The sequence below is a fragment of the Homo sapiens genome, chromosome 10 (assembly GCF_000001405.40).
Source record: "Homo sapiens chromosome 10, GRCh38.p14 Primary Assembly".
NCBI classification, from domain to species: Eukaryota; Metazoa; Chordata; class Mammalia; order Primates; family Hominidae; genus Homo; species Homo sapiens.
In genome coordinates this window covers 62,275,396-62,297,215 of record NC_000010.11, presented here as the reverse complement: position 1 = coordinate 62,297,215, position 21,820 = coordinate 62,275,396, and the positions used below count along the sequence as shown (strand labels likewise).

Below are 21,820 nucleotides of genomic sequence, written 5' to 3'. Positions count from 1 at the left end.
CTTGGACAATGGGAGGCACCAGCAGGAGAGTGGAGGGGTGGAGGAGAGAGACTGGGGTATTTACTCTCCTTGTTCACTCCCTACTGCATCTGTCTATGAAAGGGCTCCTGTCAGACAGCCCACTGCACACAGCCACCCACTTGGGTTCTGGCAATCTCTCTCTTTAAATCCTTCTCACATCTTTGTAAAATGTTCCTTTATTAAATGCTTTTCAAAATACCTAGTCTGAGTGTGCTAACCATATCCTGTCAGGAATCTGACTCAAAGACCAGAGATAATATCTTGTATATTTATTTTCTAATATGTTTCTAGTAACAAATATTTATAGTTTAGCTCATGCTTTTGTCACTTAATGTTATATTGCAAACATTTTGCCATATTATTAAATATTATTTTAAAAGATTACTTACATGGTAATATTTATTCCATTCATAATTTAAGCCTTTATGATTATTGAACACTTGGATTATTTCTATTTATTATATAAACAACTGTGATGAATAGCCTTATTTGTATTTTTATTCTGTTTAAATAGATATTTCCCCACACTGAGGCTATGAATACATTCTTCCATATTGTCTTCCAAAAGCTTTATTGTTTTGTCTTTCATATTTAGACCTACAATATAACTTGTAGTTGATCTTTCTTCTGTATAGGCACTCAGGCTGTCCCAGCACCATCTATTTAAATGACCATCCTTTGTCCATTGCTCTGTAATGCCACCTTTTTCATAAATTAGATATCTGTCTATGCATAGATCTATTTCTGGGCTTCAGTCTATTTCATTGGTCTGTCTAATCTTGTGAAAATACCATACCATTTTAATTAATATAACTTTACAATAAGTCTTGATATCTAACAAAATAGAACCTTTCACCAAGTTCTTTCTTTTCAAAATTGTCTTGACTATTCTTTTATTTCTTTAGGAGCATAGGGAGTGCTGGGAGGGTTTTTCTATTTTGTTTTTAATTTTTTAAAAATAAACATGATAATATTGATTTTTTGAAAGAGTATAGTTCTGTGAATTTTGACACAAATATAGATTCATATAACCACCACCACCAAAGTCAGGATATAGACAGTCCCGCAACACCAAAAAAAAAGTCTCATGCTACCCCTTTGTAGTCATATTCTCCCTCAACCCCAACCCCTGGCAAACACTGGACTGTTCTCCATTGACATAACTCTTTCTTCTTAAAAAGATCATCTACATGGAATCATATAGCATGTAACATTTTGAAATTGGCTTCTTTAACTCAGCACAATGTCTTTGATATACACTCAAGCGGCTGTGTGTATCAATAGTTTGGTTCCTTTTTGTTACTGAGTAGTATTCAATTGGATGTTTGTACCACTGTCCTGTTTACACATTCACTTTTTGAAAGGTGAACCACAGTTTTGTTTACCTATTGACCCTTTGGGTGGTTTCCAATTTTAGCTATTATGAAGAGAACTGCTATAAACATTTGTATATAGATTTTTACTGGAACATAGGTTTTCATTTCACTTGGGTAAATACCTAGGAGTGAGATTGCTGGACCATAAATGTATGTTTAATTTTATGAGAAACTGCCAAACTCTTTTCCACAGTGGTTGTACCATTCTGTATTCACACTGGCAATGTTTGAGAGTTTCCGTGGCAGAACATTTAGAGTTTCAGTGGCAGAACATTTGATATTACCTTTTTTTAAACTTCTAATAGCCTTAAAGTGATATCTCATTTGTTTTAATTGGCATTTCCTATGTGTCTAACAATGTTGAGCATCTTTTCATGTGCATATTTGCCTTTTGTATATTTTTTGTGATGAAGTGTCTAGTCAAGTCTTTTGCTCATTTTTTAACTTAGGGAGTTTGCTTTCGTATTGTTGAATTTTATGTATACTGGATACAGGTCTTTTTTGTAGAATATGCGATTTGAAAATATTTTATCTTACTCTTTAACTTCTCTTTTCATTCTCTTAAGTGTCCTTCACAGAGAAAATATCTTTTAATTTTGATAAATAATCATTTATAAATATTTCCTTTATGAATTATGCTTTTGGTATTATATATATATATAATCCATTTTATATATATATATATATATTAAATGGAAAGACAGGCTCACCACAGCATGATAAACCAACTTCTGAGGTATATATATATATACACATATATATACCTATATATATATATACACACACGTATATATACCTATATATATATACACATATATACCTATATATATATACACACACACATATATATGCCTGAGGTATATATATAAAATATAGATATATATTTTTTCCCTACTCCCAAGTCGTGAAGATTGTTAACCTACGTTTCATTCTAAAAGTGTTAGGTTAAATTATTCATTTAAAATTAATTTTTGAATAAAGTGAGAGGTTTAGGTCAAAATTATTTTGCATGATTTTGTTTTATTTTGTTTTTGCCTATAGATCAAATTGCTGCAGCCCCTTTTGTTGAAAAGACTATCCTTTCATCAATGAATTTATTTTGCACCTATGTCAAAAGTGTTATCTGCCTGAATATTCATGAATGGGAGACTACTGAGTAAATTATGCCACCACCACAAAATTGACTACTATGAGGTCATTGAAAGCAGAGTAAGAGGAGAAGGAGGAGCTGGAGGAAGAAGAGGAAGAGATGGAGGAGGAGGAGGAAGGAAGAGAAAGGAGGAAGAATAATATACATATAAAGTTATCTACACAGAAAATACCTGTGAAATTGGTTTTCTCTGGGGAAAGGAACTATCTGGGAAATGAGGTGGAAGGAAGATTTTCACTACATTCCTTTCAGTGCCTTTTGAATTTCATATCACATGCATGTATTACCCATATGAAAAACAGAATAACTTTTAAAAGTTATAGTGCCCTTCATTTTATAATCACAGGCTATTGACGCCTGTTCATGGTGTTTATCCCTTCCATATCTTGCTTTCTTGATTCTCAGAACAAGAAGACAGTGGGCCAAGTCCTCAGGACGAGTGATGCTTGGTTGTTTTAATTGTTGCCTTTTTGTCAAAAGCAGAAAAGCAGGTGAGAAGTTTTGAGCCACCCCAAAGAGAAGTTTGATTCTGCTGGTGCTGTCAAAGATGACTGCAATGATAGTTTTGGCCAAAGCTCCAAAAAGTTCCCTGAGAGACTCAGAGACTTGTGTGTCTGTGGTTGCAAGGGGTTAGCAAAGGGAGCCCTGTATGATGAGAACTGGCCACCCTAAAGGTTTTACCTTCCAAGTGCAGCCCATGCACACCAACAGCATAGAGCTGCAGCCAAGACAGTCTGTGATGAGCAGATTGGAGCAACACTGTCTGGAATTGATACTCTCAACAGAAATTCCCTTAATAGTGTGGGATTCCAAGGAGGGAAGACCCCTTTTGTTCAGAGTGATAAATCAAGGTGAGCTCTTTTATCCCAATATATATTAAATTGTAGTAATTTCTCTTTTTCCTGTCCTGGGTGTTCCACATCACTAACTGAAGCAAGGTGAATATCCAGTTAACTCAGTCCAACCTAAGAACGCTCTGTCTTCCAAAATAATCACTTGAGTTCATCTACAAAAGGTTGAAACTTTCTAATAAGAGCAAATACAAAGACCTGCTTTAACTAACTGTGTGTGCCTTCTCATAGTTTCCTATGTCGGATTCCCAGAGAAAGCACATAATTCCTCCAAATGAGTTTTCTGATCACTTAAACCAATGGAGCATTCCGTTCCTCTCATTACTTGTCATAATGAATATTTTCAAATTAATGTATCACACAGTTAATATGTATGACATTGTTGTTTTCTTATCAATTTGCTGTCAAACTTTGAAATAAACAGTCCCATAACAGCAGAATAACTCTATATAGTTTCAAATGCTTCTAAAGCTCATTCTATTTCTCCCATTCTAATTTCAGAAAGAATAACAGAGGCATAATAACTGCCTCCTTTCTTGAGTATAATTTCTTGAATCTGATAAAAAATACAAGACACAAAAAATCCTAAGCCTCAAGACTGAAATCTTTTAATGTTTATCCCACAAATATTAACTTCTCTCTTATGTTCAAATGTTGACTTTAATAGACATTAGAATTTTGTATAGCCGTTGATGTTGTTTTGGATTATTTAAAAGAGGGGGTCAAGAAAAAGATTAGAATCTTTTTTATTCCTACAGAGGAAGATGTTTTCTAAGAGGAAGTTCAAGATAGGTTTATTCCAAGTTAATGTGAATATTAGGACAGATTTTAGAATAATAGAAGTTTTTAAGGTGGGAGTTATTTTGCAAAAGTAATTTGATAGCATGGCCAAAGTCAAAAGTCAAGATGAAGAATAAATCAGTATTCATTAAATAAAAGATATTAAGAGAAAAAGTGATTAGGCGCCGAGTTCAGGATGAACAGTAACCTGACTCATGTTCTTCACATTTCACCATAGGATCTGTCCCAGAAGACATTTTCTCTCATCAATTTTAACCTTCCTGGGGAATTTCTGTTCCCTTCCTTTCTTCCTCTTCACTTTCTGAACTTTACTGTAGTATATAGAGGGCTACAATGGGGGCTCAGTAATTCAGATTTTCACAATAATTATATTAAATATGTTCTAGCCAATGAGAACACATTGACACAGGGAGGGGAACAACACACAATGGGGCCTGTCGGGGAAGGGCTGGGGTGGGTGGGGGAGAGCATCAGGATAAATTGCCGGGCCTAATACCTAGGTGATGGGTTGACAGGTGCAGCAAACCACTATGGCACACGTTTACCTATGTAACAAGCCTGCACATGTACCACAGAACTTAAAATCAATTTTTAAAAAAGAATGCACTTTTGCTATTAAAATAAAATTTTAATTATTTAAAAATACATATATATATATATATATTATATATATATATATATATATAATATATATATATATATATGTTCCAACATATGGGTAACTGAGTGTGAATGGGCTGTTGAAGCCTCAAAGATCCAAGCTTCAAAGGCAGGTCTAGATAATTTTAGCTTTAAGATGACTTAAGTGTTATCAAAATATATGTCAGCTAAACAAAACAGAACAAAGCAACTCAGAAAGTACCAACTGAACTTTTAACTTTAACAGTGCAGCTTCCTGGAGAACTCACTGAGAGGAAAATAGTAAAATGTTATCTCTAGAAAATAGGCTATTAACTTTAAGAGAGTTAATTTTAAGGGAACATGATTTAAACATTATGACTTTGTTATTCAGTGGTTAGACTGAAGTACAAGAAGTTGTAATAGAATAATCAGATTCTAAATCTATAAAAAAAACCTTAGAACACATTTAAAAGTCCAATCCTGACTACCCTTTCTTTACTTCTCAACCCACCCACTGTTTATTTTGTTTTGTATAGACAAGGTCTCAGTATGTTGTCCAGATTGGTCTCAAACTCTTGGCCTCTAGCAATCTTCCCACGTTGGCCCTCAGAGTGCTGGGATTACAGGTGTGAACCATTGTGCCCAGCCCTGTTTATTTTTGATGAGAAAACAGAGAGGCTAGAAAGCTTGTTCAAGTCCAAGAGTTGGAATTAGCCGATAATTAGCCAAATACACCAAAAGTTCACCTGCCCATCTGATTTTGCTCATGGTGTCCTCACTAACACAACTTTCTAAAACTCAGTAGTCCTCTCACCCACTCTTGGAAGGTTTCATGAAAACTTTCACTCACCCCTAGACTGAGGTAGATGCCCCTCTTCTTCCTTTCCTTTGCAAAACCACGACACACAGTGCACATGCATTCATCTGCTGCATTGTAATTACGGATTTCCCTCTATCTCCCTTGTTAGACTAGAAGAGCAGGTGCTCTGTGTTTTCATGTCTGTATCTGCAGCACTTACCTAATACTCAGAATACATTAGAGTTTAACGATGGATGTCTTTAAAAGACTCAGTAAACAGAACCAATGTCTCTCTACCACAATTCTGCTTTTTTCACTCTGTGTCCTATACTTAGGCAACGTAAACATTTATTTGTTTATTTTTATTATTGCACTGAACATCTGGGACTTTGTTTGCTGATTTGTTTTATCTACAGAGCATCTGCCTTCATTTTTCAGTTAATGACATTGGGAAATAACTCCACTCTCTGTGTGGTTTGGGTAGGATGGGCCCCCACCTCTAGCTCTGGGAGTGATCTGGAGACCCAGTCATTATATTTTGTGTATGTGGCCAGAGGGATAGTTTCAAGATCTCAAGTATGGAACTGAAATTGGATGAACTGACTAAATCCTAAAACTGCTCTAGAAATATTTTTGGAGGAAGAAGCTCTCTTTAGGCTGACACTGATATCAGTAAATAGGATATTATTAATAGTTTGAACCTGCCTGGGGCCACTAACTAGGGCCTAATAATGAAGCCAGCTCTGAGGAATACAGAGTTGACAGGAAGAGAAAAGATTTGGTAATATCCGTTAAGCTTCTGAACCTAGCTATGCCTCAAGTCAACAATATTAGAATTCATTTGGCTGCGAATAACAAGACATTCCATTAAAAGTGAACATTTATTTTGCTCATATAACAAAGAGTTCATCAGATAGGGTTTTCCAGCACTGATTCAGTAGAACAAATCAAGGCTTTCAGCACACACCTCTTATCCAATTACTGCAGCATCATAGCCTCATGTAATCATCTCCAAAGACAGGAAAGAAAAGTGAATTTTCTTAAGGCCTTTCTCTTTTAATCAAGTAGGAATGTCTTTTCCAAGGGTCCCAAATTGACTTCTTATGTTTCCTTGGCCAGGATTGGGTCGCATATCCATACCCTAGCTGCAAGGGAGGCTGGAAAAGTGCAGATCTGTCATTTTCCATCTCCAGAGTGAGAGGCAGGTTGTTCCAGCAAGGAAAAAGGTGGTAGGAGGGGAAGTCGACCATTAGCAGGATCCATTACATTGATTTTCAATGGATTTTTTTGGTACATAAAGAAAAGTAGTTCACTTATTCAAGACACTTTGAGCCAGGTTTCCACCCCTCACAACCAATTGTGTACAATAAAATATTTTATTTTAAAAAATGTATCTTCTATTAAAAATTTTAAAATGTTTTAAGGGGCCAGGCATGGTGGCTTACACCTGTAATCCCAGCACTTTGGGAGGCCAAGGCAGGTGAATCACCTGAGGTCAGGAGTTTGAGACCAGCCTGGCCAACATGGTGAAATCCCGTCTCTACTAAAAATACAAAAATTAGCCAGGCATGGTGACGCATGCCTGTAATCCCAGCTACTCAGGAGGCTGAGGCAGGAAGAATCGCTGGAACTTGGGAGGCGAAGGTTGCAGTGAGCTGAGATCACGCCACTGCACTCTAGCCTGGACAACAGAGTGAGACTTTATCTCAATAAATAAATAAATATAATAAAATGTTTTAAGGGAAATTTCTTAGAAATCAGTGTACTACTACCAAAGAAGTAAATATTTAGAAAAGTTCTTTTGTTTTAGAATATGAGTTTGACTTCTTTATTTTCATATAGCTTGACCCAGATAATCATGCATTTTAAGCAGAGCCATTCATGCTGAATAATTGAGCCATTATCTCACAAACAGGGCTTTGGTACAATGTCAACATAAAATCACTTACTATTTTGTAGAGTCCTTCATCTTTATCTTGTTTTCAATCTTTGAGATAAAAATATTTTTGGAGTTTAACATTAATATGCTCTTGTATCCACCACACATTCTCCAAACGCATGTCATTTCATCGTTCACTGTTTCAAAAAAGATAATTTATAGAGGATAAAGACATAAAAACTGCACTTAGTTGATTGGGAGAATTGAAACTAAGACATTTTCTTCTCTTCAGCAAAAGATGGAAGAAAAACCTAGCCTACTTCCAGTAAAAAATATATTTCTTTAGTGCACTTTTTCTTTTTTCTTTTCTTTTTTTGAAACAGAGTCCTGCTCTGCTTCCTAGGCTGGAGTGTAATGGTGCGATCTCGACTCACTGCAACCTCTGCCTCCCAGGTTCCAGCTATTCTCCCACCTCAGCCTCCCAAGTAGCTGGGATTATAGGCAAGTGCCACCACACCTGGCTAATTTTTTGCATTTTAAGTAGAGACAGGGTTTCACCATGTTGGCCAGGCTGATCTAGAACTCCTGACCTCAGGTGTTCTGCCCGCCTCGGCCTCCCAAAGTGCTGGGATTACAGACATAAGGCACTGTCCCTGGCTGTGTGGAACATATTTTGATCCTGGCTCATACAAACAAAGTATTATAAACTATGCAACAACAAGAGAACTATGAACACACTGAGTGGATATTTGATGACAGTAAGGAATATTGGAATTATAGGAGTATGGTTATGTTCTTAAAGAAAACTCTTTCATCTTTTAGAACACCTATGAAATACTTTGAGAAGAAAAGATATGCTGTTTGAGATTTGCTTCAAATTGATCCATGGCTTGGATCAATTTGGCTTGGGCTGGGAGGAGGGGAGTAATTTAGATAAAACAAGATTGGTTATGGGTTCACAGTCTTGAAACCAGATGATGGGTTTATGAGAATTTATTTTAATCAGTCTTTTTACTTTGGATTATATTTTACATTTGCCATAATACAAATTTTAAAAATATTTAGACATGTCTTTTTAAATAATTTTAGGGTCATACACTATCCCTATATTAATGGCTTAATTTTTTCAGAAAGAGTGATTTATTAATTACTAAGTTAATTGCCCAAAGGAAAACACAATGCATTTGTTTTAACTTAAGTTGGCTGACTCTGTTTATCAACTTTAAAAAGTGCTGCTAAATTGCTGTCTTATATTAAGTAGACAGCAAAATATGGCACGGTGCCCAGTGCAGCAGTGTTCTAGTAGTGCCCACCACCAACCCTGGGCTTCCACAAATATTTGATTCACATTTCACCTTTTACATATTTTCTAATTATGTTTAAAACTGTCATTTTAGGCTGGGAGCGATGGCTCTCGCCTATAATCCCAGCACTTTGGAAGGCCGAGGCTGGTGGATTACTTGAGGCCAGGAGTTCAAGACCAGACTGGCTAACATGGCGAAATCCCATCTCTACTAAAAATACAAAAATTAGCCTGGTGTGGTGGTGCCCGCCTGTAATCCCAGGCTACTTGGGAGGCTGGGGCATGAGAATCGCTTGAACCCAGGAGGCGGAGGTTGCAGTGAGCCGAGATTGCATCACTGCACTCCAGCCTGGGCAACAGAGTGGACTGTCTCAAAAAAACAAAACAAAACAAAACAAAACAAAAACCGTCATTTAAAAAACCCAGCTCGAAGAATTACCTGCCTGTTACCATGTATGCAGGTTAACTCAATTTTCCTGACTAAGAAGTAAGTTTATTTCTGTCATCACTGTTTAATTGAATAAAGAACATCCTGAGATTGCAAGGTGAGTGGTTGGAAAGTAGTACACAATTCGTCTTAACTAGTTTATGTGAATCTGAGTTTTCTCAACATTTTATAACCCTCCAAAATTTTGAATGTTTTAAGTGCTTTATGACTATAACTTACAACCATAATATCCAAATATTAATTTTTTGTTGTTATCTTTGAGCAACATAATAGCTATGGTCTGAATCTTGGTGTTCCCACCCTCCACTCCAAATTCATGTTGGAACCTAATATCCAATATCCAGTATGATAGCATTAAGAGATGGGAACTTTGGGGAAGTGATTAGGTCATGCAGGCTGTATCCTACTGAATGACGTTAGTGTCATTATAAAAGAGGTTGCAGGGAGCTGCCTTGCCCCTTCTGCCATGTGAGGATACATAGAAGGTGCCATCTACGAAGAACAAACAGATCCTCACCAGACACCAAACCTGCTAGTACCTTGATCTTGGACTTCCCAGTCTCTAGAACTGGGAGTGCTAAATTCATATTGTTCATAAATTACCCAGTCTAAGATATTTTGTCCTACAACCTGAACAGACTAAAACAGAAATTGGTAACAACAGGTGGGTTGTTGCTATATAACAAATACCTAAAAATGTGGAAGCAGCTTTGCAACTGGGTAATGAATAGAGGCTGGAAAAATTTGGAGGTACATGCTGGAAAAAGCCTGGCTTGCCATGAATGGACCATAAAGGTGATTCTGGTGAGAGCTCAGAAGAGGAGAGCTGTAGAGAAAAGCCGTGATATTCTTAGAGATTACCTAAATGCTTGTGAAATAAGAAACATGTTGTTGGAAACTGGAGGAAAAGCTATCCTTGTTATAAAGGTGCAAACAACTTGGCTGAATTGTATTGTGTCCAAGAGTTTTGTGGAAGGCAGAACTTGCCAGTGATGAAATACAAAATCTGGTAGAAGAAATCCATTCTATTTTATTCTATTCTATTAATTAAAAAGGTAGTGCAGTACGTTCTAGAATCAAACAGATCTGGTTTAAGTCCCAGCCAGGTTGGTCACTTGCAGCTGTTTGAGTTGAGCAAGTTTTTTTAAACTTTTGAGTCTTTGTGGCTTCCTTTTCTGTATTTACCTGCCTCAGGGTTGTAAGGATTAAATTAGATAGAACATATCTAACCACCATGACAGCAAAATAAAAAAAAAACTAAATATTAACTGTTTCTGCTATTGTTATTACATGTAAATTCTCTAATTCATACTTTATATCATACTAAAAAGATTTAGTTACCTAAGTGAATAGACTCCAATTCCATTTTCAAATGAGAATATTTAAGAGGTGAAGAAAATACTTCGAAGGTGGATATGCTTTTGGCTTATCTCTACTAAGATCCATAGAAATAATTTAAGAGAGGTTGCATAAGCTATGAAATCAAAACCATTAGGACAAAAATACTACTTTTTAGTAATGTAGGTAAAAAAGGAATTGAGTCCAACTGAGTTACATGATAAACTTTTTAAATTTTTTTTTGAATTTTATTTTAAGTTCCGGGGTACATCTGTAGGTTTGTTACATAGGTAAACGTGTGCCATGGCGGTTTGCTGCACAGATCAACCCATCACCTAGGTATTAAAATCAGCATCCATTAACTATTCTTCCTGATGCACAGTAAGAATTGACTGGCAGAATTTTTTAAAAAAGGATTGAATTTTCAGGATAATAACTTTGCTTTATCTTTGTTCTGTAGTTATTTTCAGTTGTTTGACATTTTAACATTCACCTGTGACTTAACAATTGCAAAATGAAGTGTTAAATTCTACAAATGCAAAAGGGGAATGACTTTTCTCAAATATAGTAACCACGGAAGAAGCTTAACCCTTTGTCAGAAACCCAGCATCTTTTCAATACACCTAAGATTCAAAGGTTTAATTTATACTCAACATTGTTTTAATCATATTCCTTTTATTCATTTTATTTTACTTTATTTTCATAGAGACAAGGTTTCCCTTTGTTGCCCAGGCTTGTTTTGAACCCCTGACTTCAAGCAATCCTCTGGCATTGGCCTCCCAAAGTTCTGGGATTACAGGCATGAGCCACTGCGCTTGGCCCATACTCAACATTTCAAATCTGTATTCTTTACTATAGCTTCCTAGATAATATGACTCTTGCTCATATATCCTCTGCTAAATAAAAATCAAGGAGTTTGATTCTTAATCTCTTGGATTCTTGCTTAAATCAATGAGAAATTTGTGTACCTAATATTGAGTCGCAAAGATCCAAATCAGGAACAAAATGATTACAAAGTTAAAGACATGAATGTTCCCTTTCTATACTTTTAGCTAAACATCTTGAAAAAGAGCTTCTCCTAACCAGTAGTGTAATAATGAGAGGGATGTTTGTACTATGAAGTCAAATATGATTAATTTGAGAATAAATCCATTTTTACAAAATGTATTAGAACTAATAAAATTACTGCAGTACTATTATATTAGTATATTATAATTAAAAAGAAAATGAGCATATCAAATTTAAGGGATGGAAACATGATTTATAATATCCATAAAGATTAATAACTTATAAGAGAATAACTAATTCTTTTAACCATTTTGATTTATTAAAAAATAGAAGTGTGAAATCACTAGGACTCATTTCATATTGACCTATTTTAGAAAAAAAGTAGGTTGATTATTAGGAAAGCAAATGAGAGCCAAGATAAATAATCCATAATAATTGATCATTAATTAATTTTGAGTGGTTATTCTTGCTAGACATTTGTATGGAATTATTAATACTGAAAGTACTTCAATCAATTTAGCCAAGTATTTGACATAAGTTATTTTAATGACACATGAAAGATATCTTGTTAACATTCTGGATGAATAATTTTATTCAAACAAGCATAAATATGATGATCATAATAACAGAATCAGATTTGTAGTCTTATTTTTTAAATTGATGACTATGGTATCAAACACTTACTGTTGTGTCATCTTTTGGCATTAATCTTGTTAATTTGAAGTTTGCAATGCAATGCAGCCACAGAAATAAATAATGGTGATCATGGAAATTATTTAATTCAACATATAGAACTTTACAAAGTATATGTAAGTATGAGGCTGAGAATGGAGATGGTAGGACTTTTCATTGCACTTTTCATTTGAAAAATTTAAGACTCACAATTCAGCAGATGATATCATTTGTTTGGTTATACTACTAACAGTAACCTTCCTCTAAAGAAAGCTGAAAATGAACTTAGCAACATTGAGACTGACTCTTGGCTTTAAAGAGATAGATGTGACTATTGTTCAAGAGCTGTATCTTAAGAGATTTTGCTTTATTTTTGAAGAGAAAAATTGCTGCTACTGCAAGGAAGAAACAAATGACTTTATCAGTGGACAAATGAATATATTTGTTCTGTGGTGGGTGCAGCTGTACCATACTGCAGACATGGCATCATCAAGGAAGCATTTTATTTAAAAGACATTGCAGCTGTCATGACCACTGAGTTCCCAGTTGGTTAATGAATTTCATATAAATGGTGACAATTGGGTATGGGAGGCAGAAAAACAAGTAGCACACCAGGATCCTCAGCACTGGGCATCTTTCTTTCTCAGTCTCTTTTCTTCCCATTTAACTGTCTGTTCCTCCAATAGCACTTACAGCTTTTAGGCTCACAGCTGGAAAGACAAACTGCACCAAGAGTCTTTCAAATGTTGCTGCTGTTGAGAGAGGAATATAAGGGGATGGGCCTTGAGGACATAATGTACCTGGGCAAAGTTTTTGCCAATACTGTGAGCAGTCATTTTTAAACAATGGAAAAATATAGTGGTCGGCAGCCATTAATAACCAATTCATGTCCTTTAATAAATGCTGTCATGGAAAACACCACATCAGAAAACCACTTTGTGAAATGTTCTTTTATCAGATACAGAAATCGTACCTGAAGATGCCATAGAGTATACATCAACAATTACAGGAATACCATAGTAAGTGGAAGCTAACAATTTATCACATTACTAAAAATATTTTGTAATTATTTGTTGATTATCACCATGCCCCTGCAGCAGACTAAAGGTACTTAATAAATAGCAAATTATTTTGTTATTTTAAATAACATTTTATAATGATTACATTATATCTACTCTCTTCTAGAAAAGTGTGGTATAGAAGTAGGTAAATACTCTCCAAGGCTTGTTCTAATTTATAAATACTATGATTGAATCTTTTTTGCTTTGAAAGTCCTGTAATACATTTTCCCATGAGTCCTAAAATTCTGATCTAATTAAGCCATAAAGAAATGACATCAAACTAGATCTTTTATGCTAAAATTGTTGCACAGTAGGTTTTATTTTGTACCTTAGAAAAACAGCATAACATCCACTTTGTACATGATAATAATTACTAAACCATTCTCATATTCAAAATATATATAGCAAAATCTTGTATTTATTTAACAAATCTAACCAGTCATTATATTAAAATGAATTTTCTAGTACAACCTAAATTTGCAATTTTCCCTAAAAGTTTTTAGGGGAAAATATTTTGTTTGACTAATGAAAGGTGATAAACAACATTAGTTTCTCCTTTTGTTTCCCATATTGATTTATTAAGAAATAGAAAAAAAATCAGTAAAATATACTAAGGGATCTTAAGAATTGTATTATTCCTTTCCACAGACAATTTCAATTTATAAACTCATTCTTATTAAAACAGCATTATGTTAAAAAGTGATTTATGAATATCATGATTTCTTTAACCATCCTTTTATTTTATTAATTTTATGAATTTAAAACACCAGTAATTAAAAAAAATTAGTTTCAGTAAATAAATAAGTAATATCCGAAAAGGGGAAACTAATTTTATTTTAGATAATAAAATATATATCATTTTGTATATAATTTCTATAATGAGCTTGAACATAAGAAACTATTAAGTAAAGAAATTCCAAGTAGAATTCAGTTAAATAAAAACTATAGAGAAAAATGTAATATTGGACATTGAAGAGAAAATTTTTTAGAAGTGAGATGACCTGGTCTTTTCTATTAGAAGAGATCGTCAATATGCCCCAGTAGTGTGCTTTTACTACTTAATAAACAGTATTTTGTTACTTTTATAACATTTTATAACAATTACACTATATCTACCCTCTAATATTTATTAAGTAGTAGTTGTTTCTGGGCATAGCAACATTTTAAAAGCATGTTTTGCTTCAACACTTTTCACATATGAATCAAGTACATGATTAATATACACAATTCTTCAAAATATTTAAAACTACACATTAAGCAACATACATTGAACCTGCAGATAAAATCTCATCTTTTATTTATATACTATGCTAGAAAGGAGTGATGTTGTTAAATAAACTTCCACGAATTCATATAAATGAAACAAATTCATATAAATGAAAGCAAAGAAATGAAACGCCAAAAGATGAAGAAATTGTTAGGACACAAAAAATAAAGGCATATATGTGATGATACATTCTCTGACATGCACAAATGTCCTTTGAAATAATTAAAGCCAGCCTGGCACAGCGGCTCACACCTCTAATCCCAGCACTTTGGGAGGCCGAGGTGGGAGGATCCTTTGAAGCCAGGAGTTCCAGACCAGTCTGGAAAACGTGAGACCTCCCTTATCTCTACAAAAAAGTTAAAAAATCAGCCGGGTGTGTGTGGTGGCAAACACTTGTAGTCCCAGCTCCTCAAGAGGTGAGTGTGGGGGATTGCTAGAGCCCCAGAGGTCAAGGTTGCAGTGAGCCATGATCATGCCACTGCACTCCAACCTGGATGACAGAGTGAGACCCTGTCTTTAAAAAAAAAAAAAAAAAAAGTGAGAGCCACATTATTTGGGTAACGGCTGGCAAAAAACTCTTTGTTGATAGTATAAGCTATTTTACACTCTATTTCAACTAAAGAATTTATTGGGTATTTCAGAAATGAATGATTGCGTTTTCTAAGTGACAGAAAAATGGTTTGATGAAATTATATTCATGGCGGATTTCATAGATGGAAAAAATTAGAACAGTGACCAGCAAAAAGCAAGCTTTCCTTTAGCATTAGAAATTATTTAACACCAGGCTCGTCGCAGTGGCTCATGCCTGTAAACCTAGTGTCTCCGGAATTGGTGGGTTCTTGGTCTCACTGACTTCAAGAATGAAGCCGTGGACCCTCGCGGTGAGTGTTACAGCTCTTAAGGTGGCGCGTCTGGAGTCTGTCCCTTCTGATGTTCAGATGTGTCCGGAGTTTCTTCCTTCTGGTGGGTTCGCCGTCTCGCTGGCTCACGAGGGAAGCTGCAGACCTTGGCAGTGAGTGTTACAGCTCTTAAGGCAGCGCGTCGGAGTTGTTCGTTCCTCTCGCTGGGCTTAGGAGTGAAACTGCAGATCTTCGCGGTTAGTGTTACAGCTCATAAAAGCAGCGTAGACCCAAAGAGTGAGCAGTAGCAAGATTTATTGCAAACAGCGAAAGAACAAAGCTTCCACCGCGAGGAACGTGACCCGAGCGAGTTGCCAATGCCGGCTAGGGCAGCCTGCTTTTATTCTCTTATCTGGCCCCACCCACATCCTGCTGATTGGTAGAGCCGAGTGGCCTGTTTTGTCAGGGCACTGATTGGTGCGTTTACAATCCCTGAGCTAGATACAAAGGTTCTCCACGTCCCCATCAGATTAGTTAGATACAGAGTTTTGACACACAGGTTCTCCAAGGCCCCACCAGAGCAGCTAGATACAGAGTGTCGATATGTGCATTCACAAACCTTGAGCTAAACACAGGGTGCTGATTGGTGTGTTTACAAACCTTGAGCTAGATACAGAGTGCCAATTGGTGTATTTACAATCCCTGAGCTAGACATAAAGGTTCTCCACGTCCTCACCAGAGCAGCTAGATACAGAGTGTCCACTGGTGTATTTACAAGCCCTGAGCTAGACATAAAGGTTCTCCACATCCTCACCAGAGCAGCTAGATACAGAGTGTCCATTGGTGCACTCACAAACCTTGAGCTAAACACAGGGTGCTGATTGGTGTATTTACAATCCCTGAGCTAGATATAAAGACTCTCCACGTCCCCACCAGACTCAGGAGCCCAGCTGGCTTCACCTAGTGGATCCCACACCAGGGCTGCAGGTGGAGCTGCCTGCCAGTCCCGCGCCGTGCGCTCACATTCCCCAGCCCTTGGGTGGTCGATGGGACTGGGTGCGGTGGAGCAGGGGGTGGTGCTCGTTGGGGAGGCTCGGGCTGCACAGGAGCCCATGGAGTGGGTGGGAGGCTCAGGCATGGCGGGCTGCAGGTCCCGAGCCCTGCCCCGAGGGAAGGCAGCTAAGGCTGGGTGAGAAATCGAGTGCAGCGCCGGTGGGCTGCCACTGCTGGGGGACCCAGTACACCCTCCGCAGCCACTGTCCCGGGTGCTAAGTCCCTCTTTGCCCGGGGCCAGCAGGGCTGGCCGGCTGCTCCGAGTGCGGGGCCCGCCAAGCCCACGCCCACCCGGAACTCCAGCTGGCCCGCAAGCGCCGCACGCAGCCCCGGTTCCCGCTCGTGCCTCTCCCTCCACACGTCCCTGCAAGCTGAGGAAGTGGGCTCCAGCCTTGGCCAGCCCAAAAAGGGGCTCCCACAGTGCAGTGGGGGCGCTGAAGGGCTCCTCAAATGCCACCAAAGTGGGAGCCCAGGCAGGAGAGGTGCTGAGAGCAAGCGAGGGCTCTGAGGACTGCCAGCACGCTGTCACCTCTCACTAGCACTTTGGGAGGCTGAGGCGGGTGGATTGCCTGAGGTCAGGAGCTCGAGACCAGCCTGGCCAACAAGGTGAAACCCTGTCTCCACTAAAAATAAAAAAAAATTAGCTGGGCGCAGTGGCGGGCACCTGTAATCCCAGCTACTCAGGAGGATGAGGTAGGAGAATCACCTGAATCTGGGAGGCGGAGGTTTCAGTGAGCCGAGATCTGGCCATTGCACTCCAGCCTGGGCAAAAAAAAAGTGAAACTCCATCTCAAAAAATAAAATATAAAAAAAAAAAGAAAGAAAAAAATTATTTAACACCTATAATCAGTAAAATTTGTACAGCTCAAAATGAAACCCGAATATTTTAGGCCTCCCAATGCAAAACTAGAAAGGACAGAGATAAGTAATTCATTCCAGGTGTCTAATACGAGAAGGAACTCAGAGTTTCGTGTGTAATTATTCATTACACATCATCATCTTTACTGTGATAGCACCAGTAAATGTAGCACTTCATAGCATCACTGTGGGGGCCTGCCCTACCTGCCTGGACATTCATAACAGCAAATGGCAAGCCAAAAACAACATTCCGTAAGGCGCAGAGTTCCTTCTCACTGACAGCTTCAGTGATCAGTGTATATTCTTCATCAACCGATGCAGAACTACTAACAGGCTCACATACTCTGGAAAGTCATCATAGAATGTTCTCCTGCCTTTAGGTTTTCAGAAAATAATAGGAAGGGCACGCTACAAGAGTCTATGATTTGTTCTTTCTTCTTCTGTTTTTTTTCGAGAGGAAGTCTCAACTCTGTCGCCCAGGCTGGAGTGCAGTAGCGCGATCTCGGCTCACTGCAAGCTCCGCCTCCCGGGTTCACACCATTCTCCTGCCTCAGCCTCCCGAGTAGCTGGGACTACAGGCGCCTGCCACCACGCCCGGCTAATTTTATTTTTAGTAGAGACGGGGTTTCACCATGTTTGTTAGCCAGGATGGTCTCGATCTCCTTGCCTCGTAATCCTCCCGCCTCGGCCTCCCAAAGTGCTGGGATTACAGGCATGAGCCCCCGCGCCCGGCCTATGATTTGTTCTTTCTAATGTGGTGATTTCACTGGAAGGCGAGGATCAACCCCTAGGTGCTCAGAATTTGGGGGTGAGAGAAAGACAGATGGAGTTTGAAAACATAGCAGTTTAGTAGATTTGACTCTGGAATGTGTAGTAAGCAAGCCAACTCAATCAAGCTTCACTTTGATATCACACAAAAGAAAAATACAGTATTTTCTAAGTCCAAAATAAACTTTTTTTCTTCTAAAAATACCTTTGGTTTTGGCTTTGTTAGTCATAACTTTTAACTTACAATAGGATTTCAAAAACATTAATGACTCTTTAAAGAAATTTATGGTTATAAAATAGGGTGTGCATAGTCATTGAAATATTTTAGATGGAAATATCTCTACTTCATGCTGAACTTATCAAGTCTTTCATTCCACCGTTATCTGATTTAAATCTTTAGTTTTCATAACTTCTCTAATGTTTTCTTTTTGGGGATTGGCATTACACAGATGGAATAAACCAATTCAATGTTAATGACACTGCTGGCAGATATTTGTACATGCCCTACATTTTTCAAATACTTTCATATACGCTGGATACCCAAGACAAGCCTATGAAGCAGACAGAGGAAGGATTATTAGTTGTATATTACAGATTAAGAAACTCAGCTTTACAGATGTCAAGTGACTTGCCAAATGGCTATCAGATGGCAGGACTGAGACTATAATTTAAGTCCTCTGTCTTCCAGTTTGGTGCTTGCATCAAACCAGAACAAACTAAGTAACACTGTAGCATCAAACAATTCCCAGATTCAGAGGCTCAAAATAATGCTAAAAATAACAAAGATTATTTAATGCTCAAAATAACAAAGATATGTTTATTGCTGTTAATGTGTGTTCAGCACAAGACAGGTGGGTGCTCTCTTTAGTTATCTCACTCTGAACCATGCAATATTATACCATCTACAATCTGGAAAGTTGCCTGTCACTGGGACAGAGGGGGAAGAAATGACAGCAAGTCAAACACTTGCTCTTACAGCTGCTTCACAGACCCTTCTGCTCATGGTTCAGCAAAGAAAGCAAGTCTCATGGTCAAGGCTGACCTCAAACAGGCAAACCTATGAGGAAGTAAACCGAACCAGAACTATGTTGTGTCACTGATTACAATAGTCTTCCTAGGCACTAAGTATTCAGTCCACTCTCTTTCCTGTTGGAAATATGCACTCCTGGAAGGAGAAAACCCAAAAGTCCCATGTGGTAAGGGCATCAAGCTCAAAAAGAAGGATCTTTGGTAATACACTGTAGTCCTTACCTCAGGGAGCAATGTGCTTCATGTGAGGATGGGAGTCCTCTTGAACCGGAAACCTCTGAACAAAAAGGGCAAGTTATCTGCCCCACATACATCCAATACATACTGGGGATACATGTTCAGGATAACCTCCATATAACTCTTCCCATTTAGAAAGGAGAAGAAGGGGAGACACAGCAGTGCTGGTCTGTAGTAACTGAAATCTCAGCAAGTAGAAATTTTAACGATCCTCTATCCCAAAGGGAAAGAAAGGTTTCTTGATTAGACCTTGGAGAACACTCCCCAGTCCATTGTTCTTCATAGCACTTTGTTCTACCATCTGAAAAATTCTTCCTTTTCCATTTTCCTCAAAATGGAATATATTCAAAGTGACCATTAAGGAATCTGACCCTGTTGGGACACTGACCAGCTTTTTTAGGCAGCTACATCTGCAGGAGAAAAATATAACGTGGTGAGTTTCCCTTAAAACCAAATGAGTGCAATTTAAAGGACAGTTCTTTATTCTTACATTTTATGTATAATTATGTACTTATTATATTTTGGTATTAAACTATCCTTTCTTGTGAATTTCTGTATTAGCAGTTTCTATGGACTTCTTTTCTTTGGGGGGCGGTGGCGGGGGGCAGTGCAGAGTCTCGCTCTGTCACCCAGGCTGGAGTGCAATGGTGTGATCTCAGCTCACTGCAACCTCCGCCTCCCGGGTTCATGCCATCCTCCTGCCTCAGCCTCCTGCGTAACTGGGATTACAGGTGCACACCACCACACCTGGCTAATTTTTTGTATTTTTAGTAGAGACGGGGTTTCACTATGTTGGCCAGACTGGTCTTGAACTCCTGACCTCATGATCCGCCCGCCTCGGCCTCCAAAGTGCTGGGATTACAAGCGTGAGCCACCGCCCCTAGCCTTCTGTGGACTTCTGTATTACAGGTTCAGTGGACTTTATGAATAATGTTTCCTCTCACTGATGAATAATTTTTGTAAAATAGATATGTTTCACATAAATATAACTTTTATAGCATTGCTGGGATCTCAGGAAAAAATAAACACCTTTAAGGAACTAGAAATAGAGTAACAACAAAAACAACCAATCAAAAAACTTGAGTGAAAACCACAGTTGGAAGTTACTAGTGCACAAATGCATGTGCACACACACAAATGGTTTTTGCTCTGCCAATGGCAAGTGGAAGGACCTGCATCTGAGATTCTTATATTATGCTTAGAAACCTGAGTTAACTGGTCTCAGGCATCTAGAGCCTATGATTCCCAGTAAAAGCATATGTAAATCCCCCCTGTAAGAAAGCTTGGATTAGGTAAAAATGAACACCCAGTCAATGATTACAAATCTCAAGGAAATCAATCAACGTGAGTAAATGTCGGTGGAAATAACATCAAATTAATATCCTTAAGCACTACAAATATTATAATGATTAGAAACAGAATGTAGAACAATTGTGAAAAAGACCTAAAAAAATAGAAGAATCACAGAAATGAACAGGTAACAAAAGATTATTCAAAATGACCAGGGAGATTTGTAAAAGTCATTACAACAGCACTGTTATAAATGAAAAAATTAATGGTTGAAATAAAAAACTCAGTGGGTGGATTTAAGAGAAAATTGGACACAGATAAAAGAAAAAAATGAGAAGATGGAAAAATACTCCGAATTCAGCACGAAGAGTCCAGAAAGTAGAGAATATAAAAGAAAAGTTAGGAGATAAAGGCAATAGATTAAGAAAGGCTTAAACCCAAAGCTGCAAGGTAAACGATGTGTACTTAGTGAGATAAAGATTAAAATCAGGAATAAAACAAGAATGCCACCTCCATTTAATATTGTATTGGCTGCCTTAGCCAATGTAGTAAGTCAAGTAAAAAGAAATATGAGAATCAGAAAAGAAACAAAAGTGTTATTATTCACACTTGATTTCATACAGAATATACCTAAAAAACCTATAGATGATTTATTAGAAATAATGAGCAAATTTAGCAAGGCACTTGGATATAAGACCAACAGATAAAAATCAGTTTTATTTCTATACACCAGCCACAAACAGAAGATATGTTTTTTAAGTATTATTTACAATAGCAAGAAGAGATATAAGGAACCCAAGAATACATGGAACTAAAGATATGCATAGGCCTATGTGGAAAAAACTGCAAAACTTCATCAAAAGACCTCAAATGAAAATCTAAATTTGCAACATACATGATGTTCATGGATTGGAATACCCAATATCCTAAATAAACAATTTCTCTCTAAATTCAATGCAATTCATACAAAAACTCCAACACGCTTCTGTTTTGTTCCTTCAAACTTGAGGAGCTGAATCAAAATTTCATGTGAAAGAGCAAAAGCACAATAATAGCCAAGATACTCCTCAGGAGAAAAAGGTAGTAAATATCTACAAAAAGAACATTTCCAGAACTAAAGCAGGAAAAGAGGAATCTGTCCTTAGCCTAAT

The 21,820-nt window shown here is 37.5% G+C and overlaps 1 long non-coding RNA gene across 1 annotated transcript in view; it reads right to left on the bottom strand.

Moving 5' to 3' along the window:
- The window catches only part of LINC02621 (long intergenic non-protein coding RNA 2621), a 44,902-nt gene that overhangs the window by 6,852 nt on the left and 16,230 nt on the right, over positions 1-21,820 (bottom strand). The window contains exon 2 of the long non-coding RNA NR_186389.1: positions 7,569-7,695. This is a non-coding gene — a long non-coding RNA (long intergenic non-protein coding RNA 2621). The remainder of the gene's footprint in view (positions 1-7,568; positions 7,696-21,820) is intronic.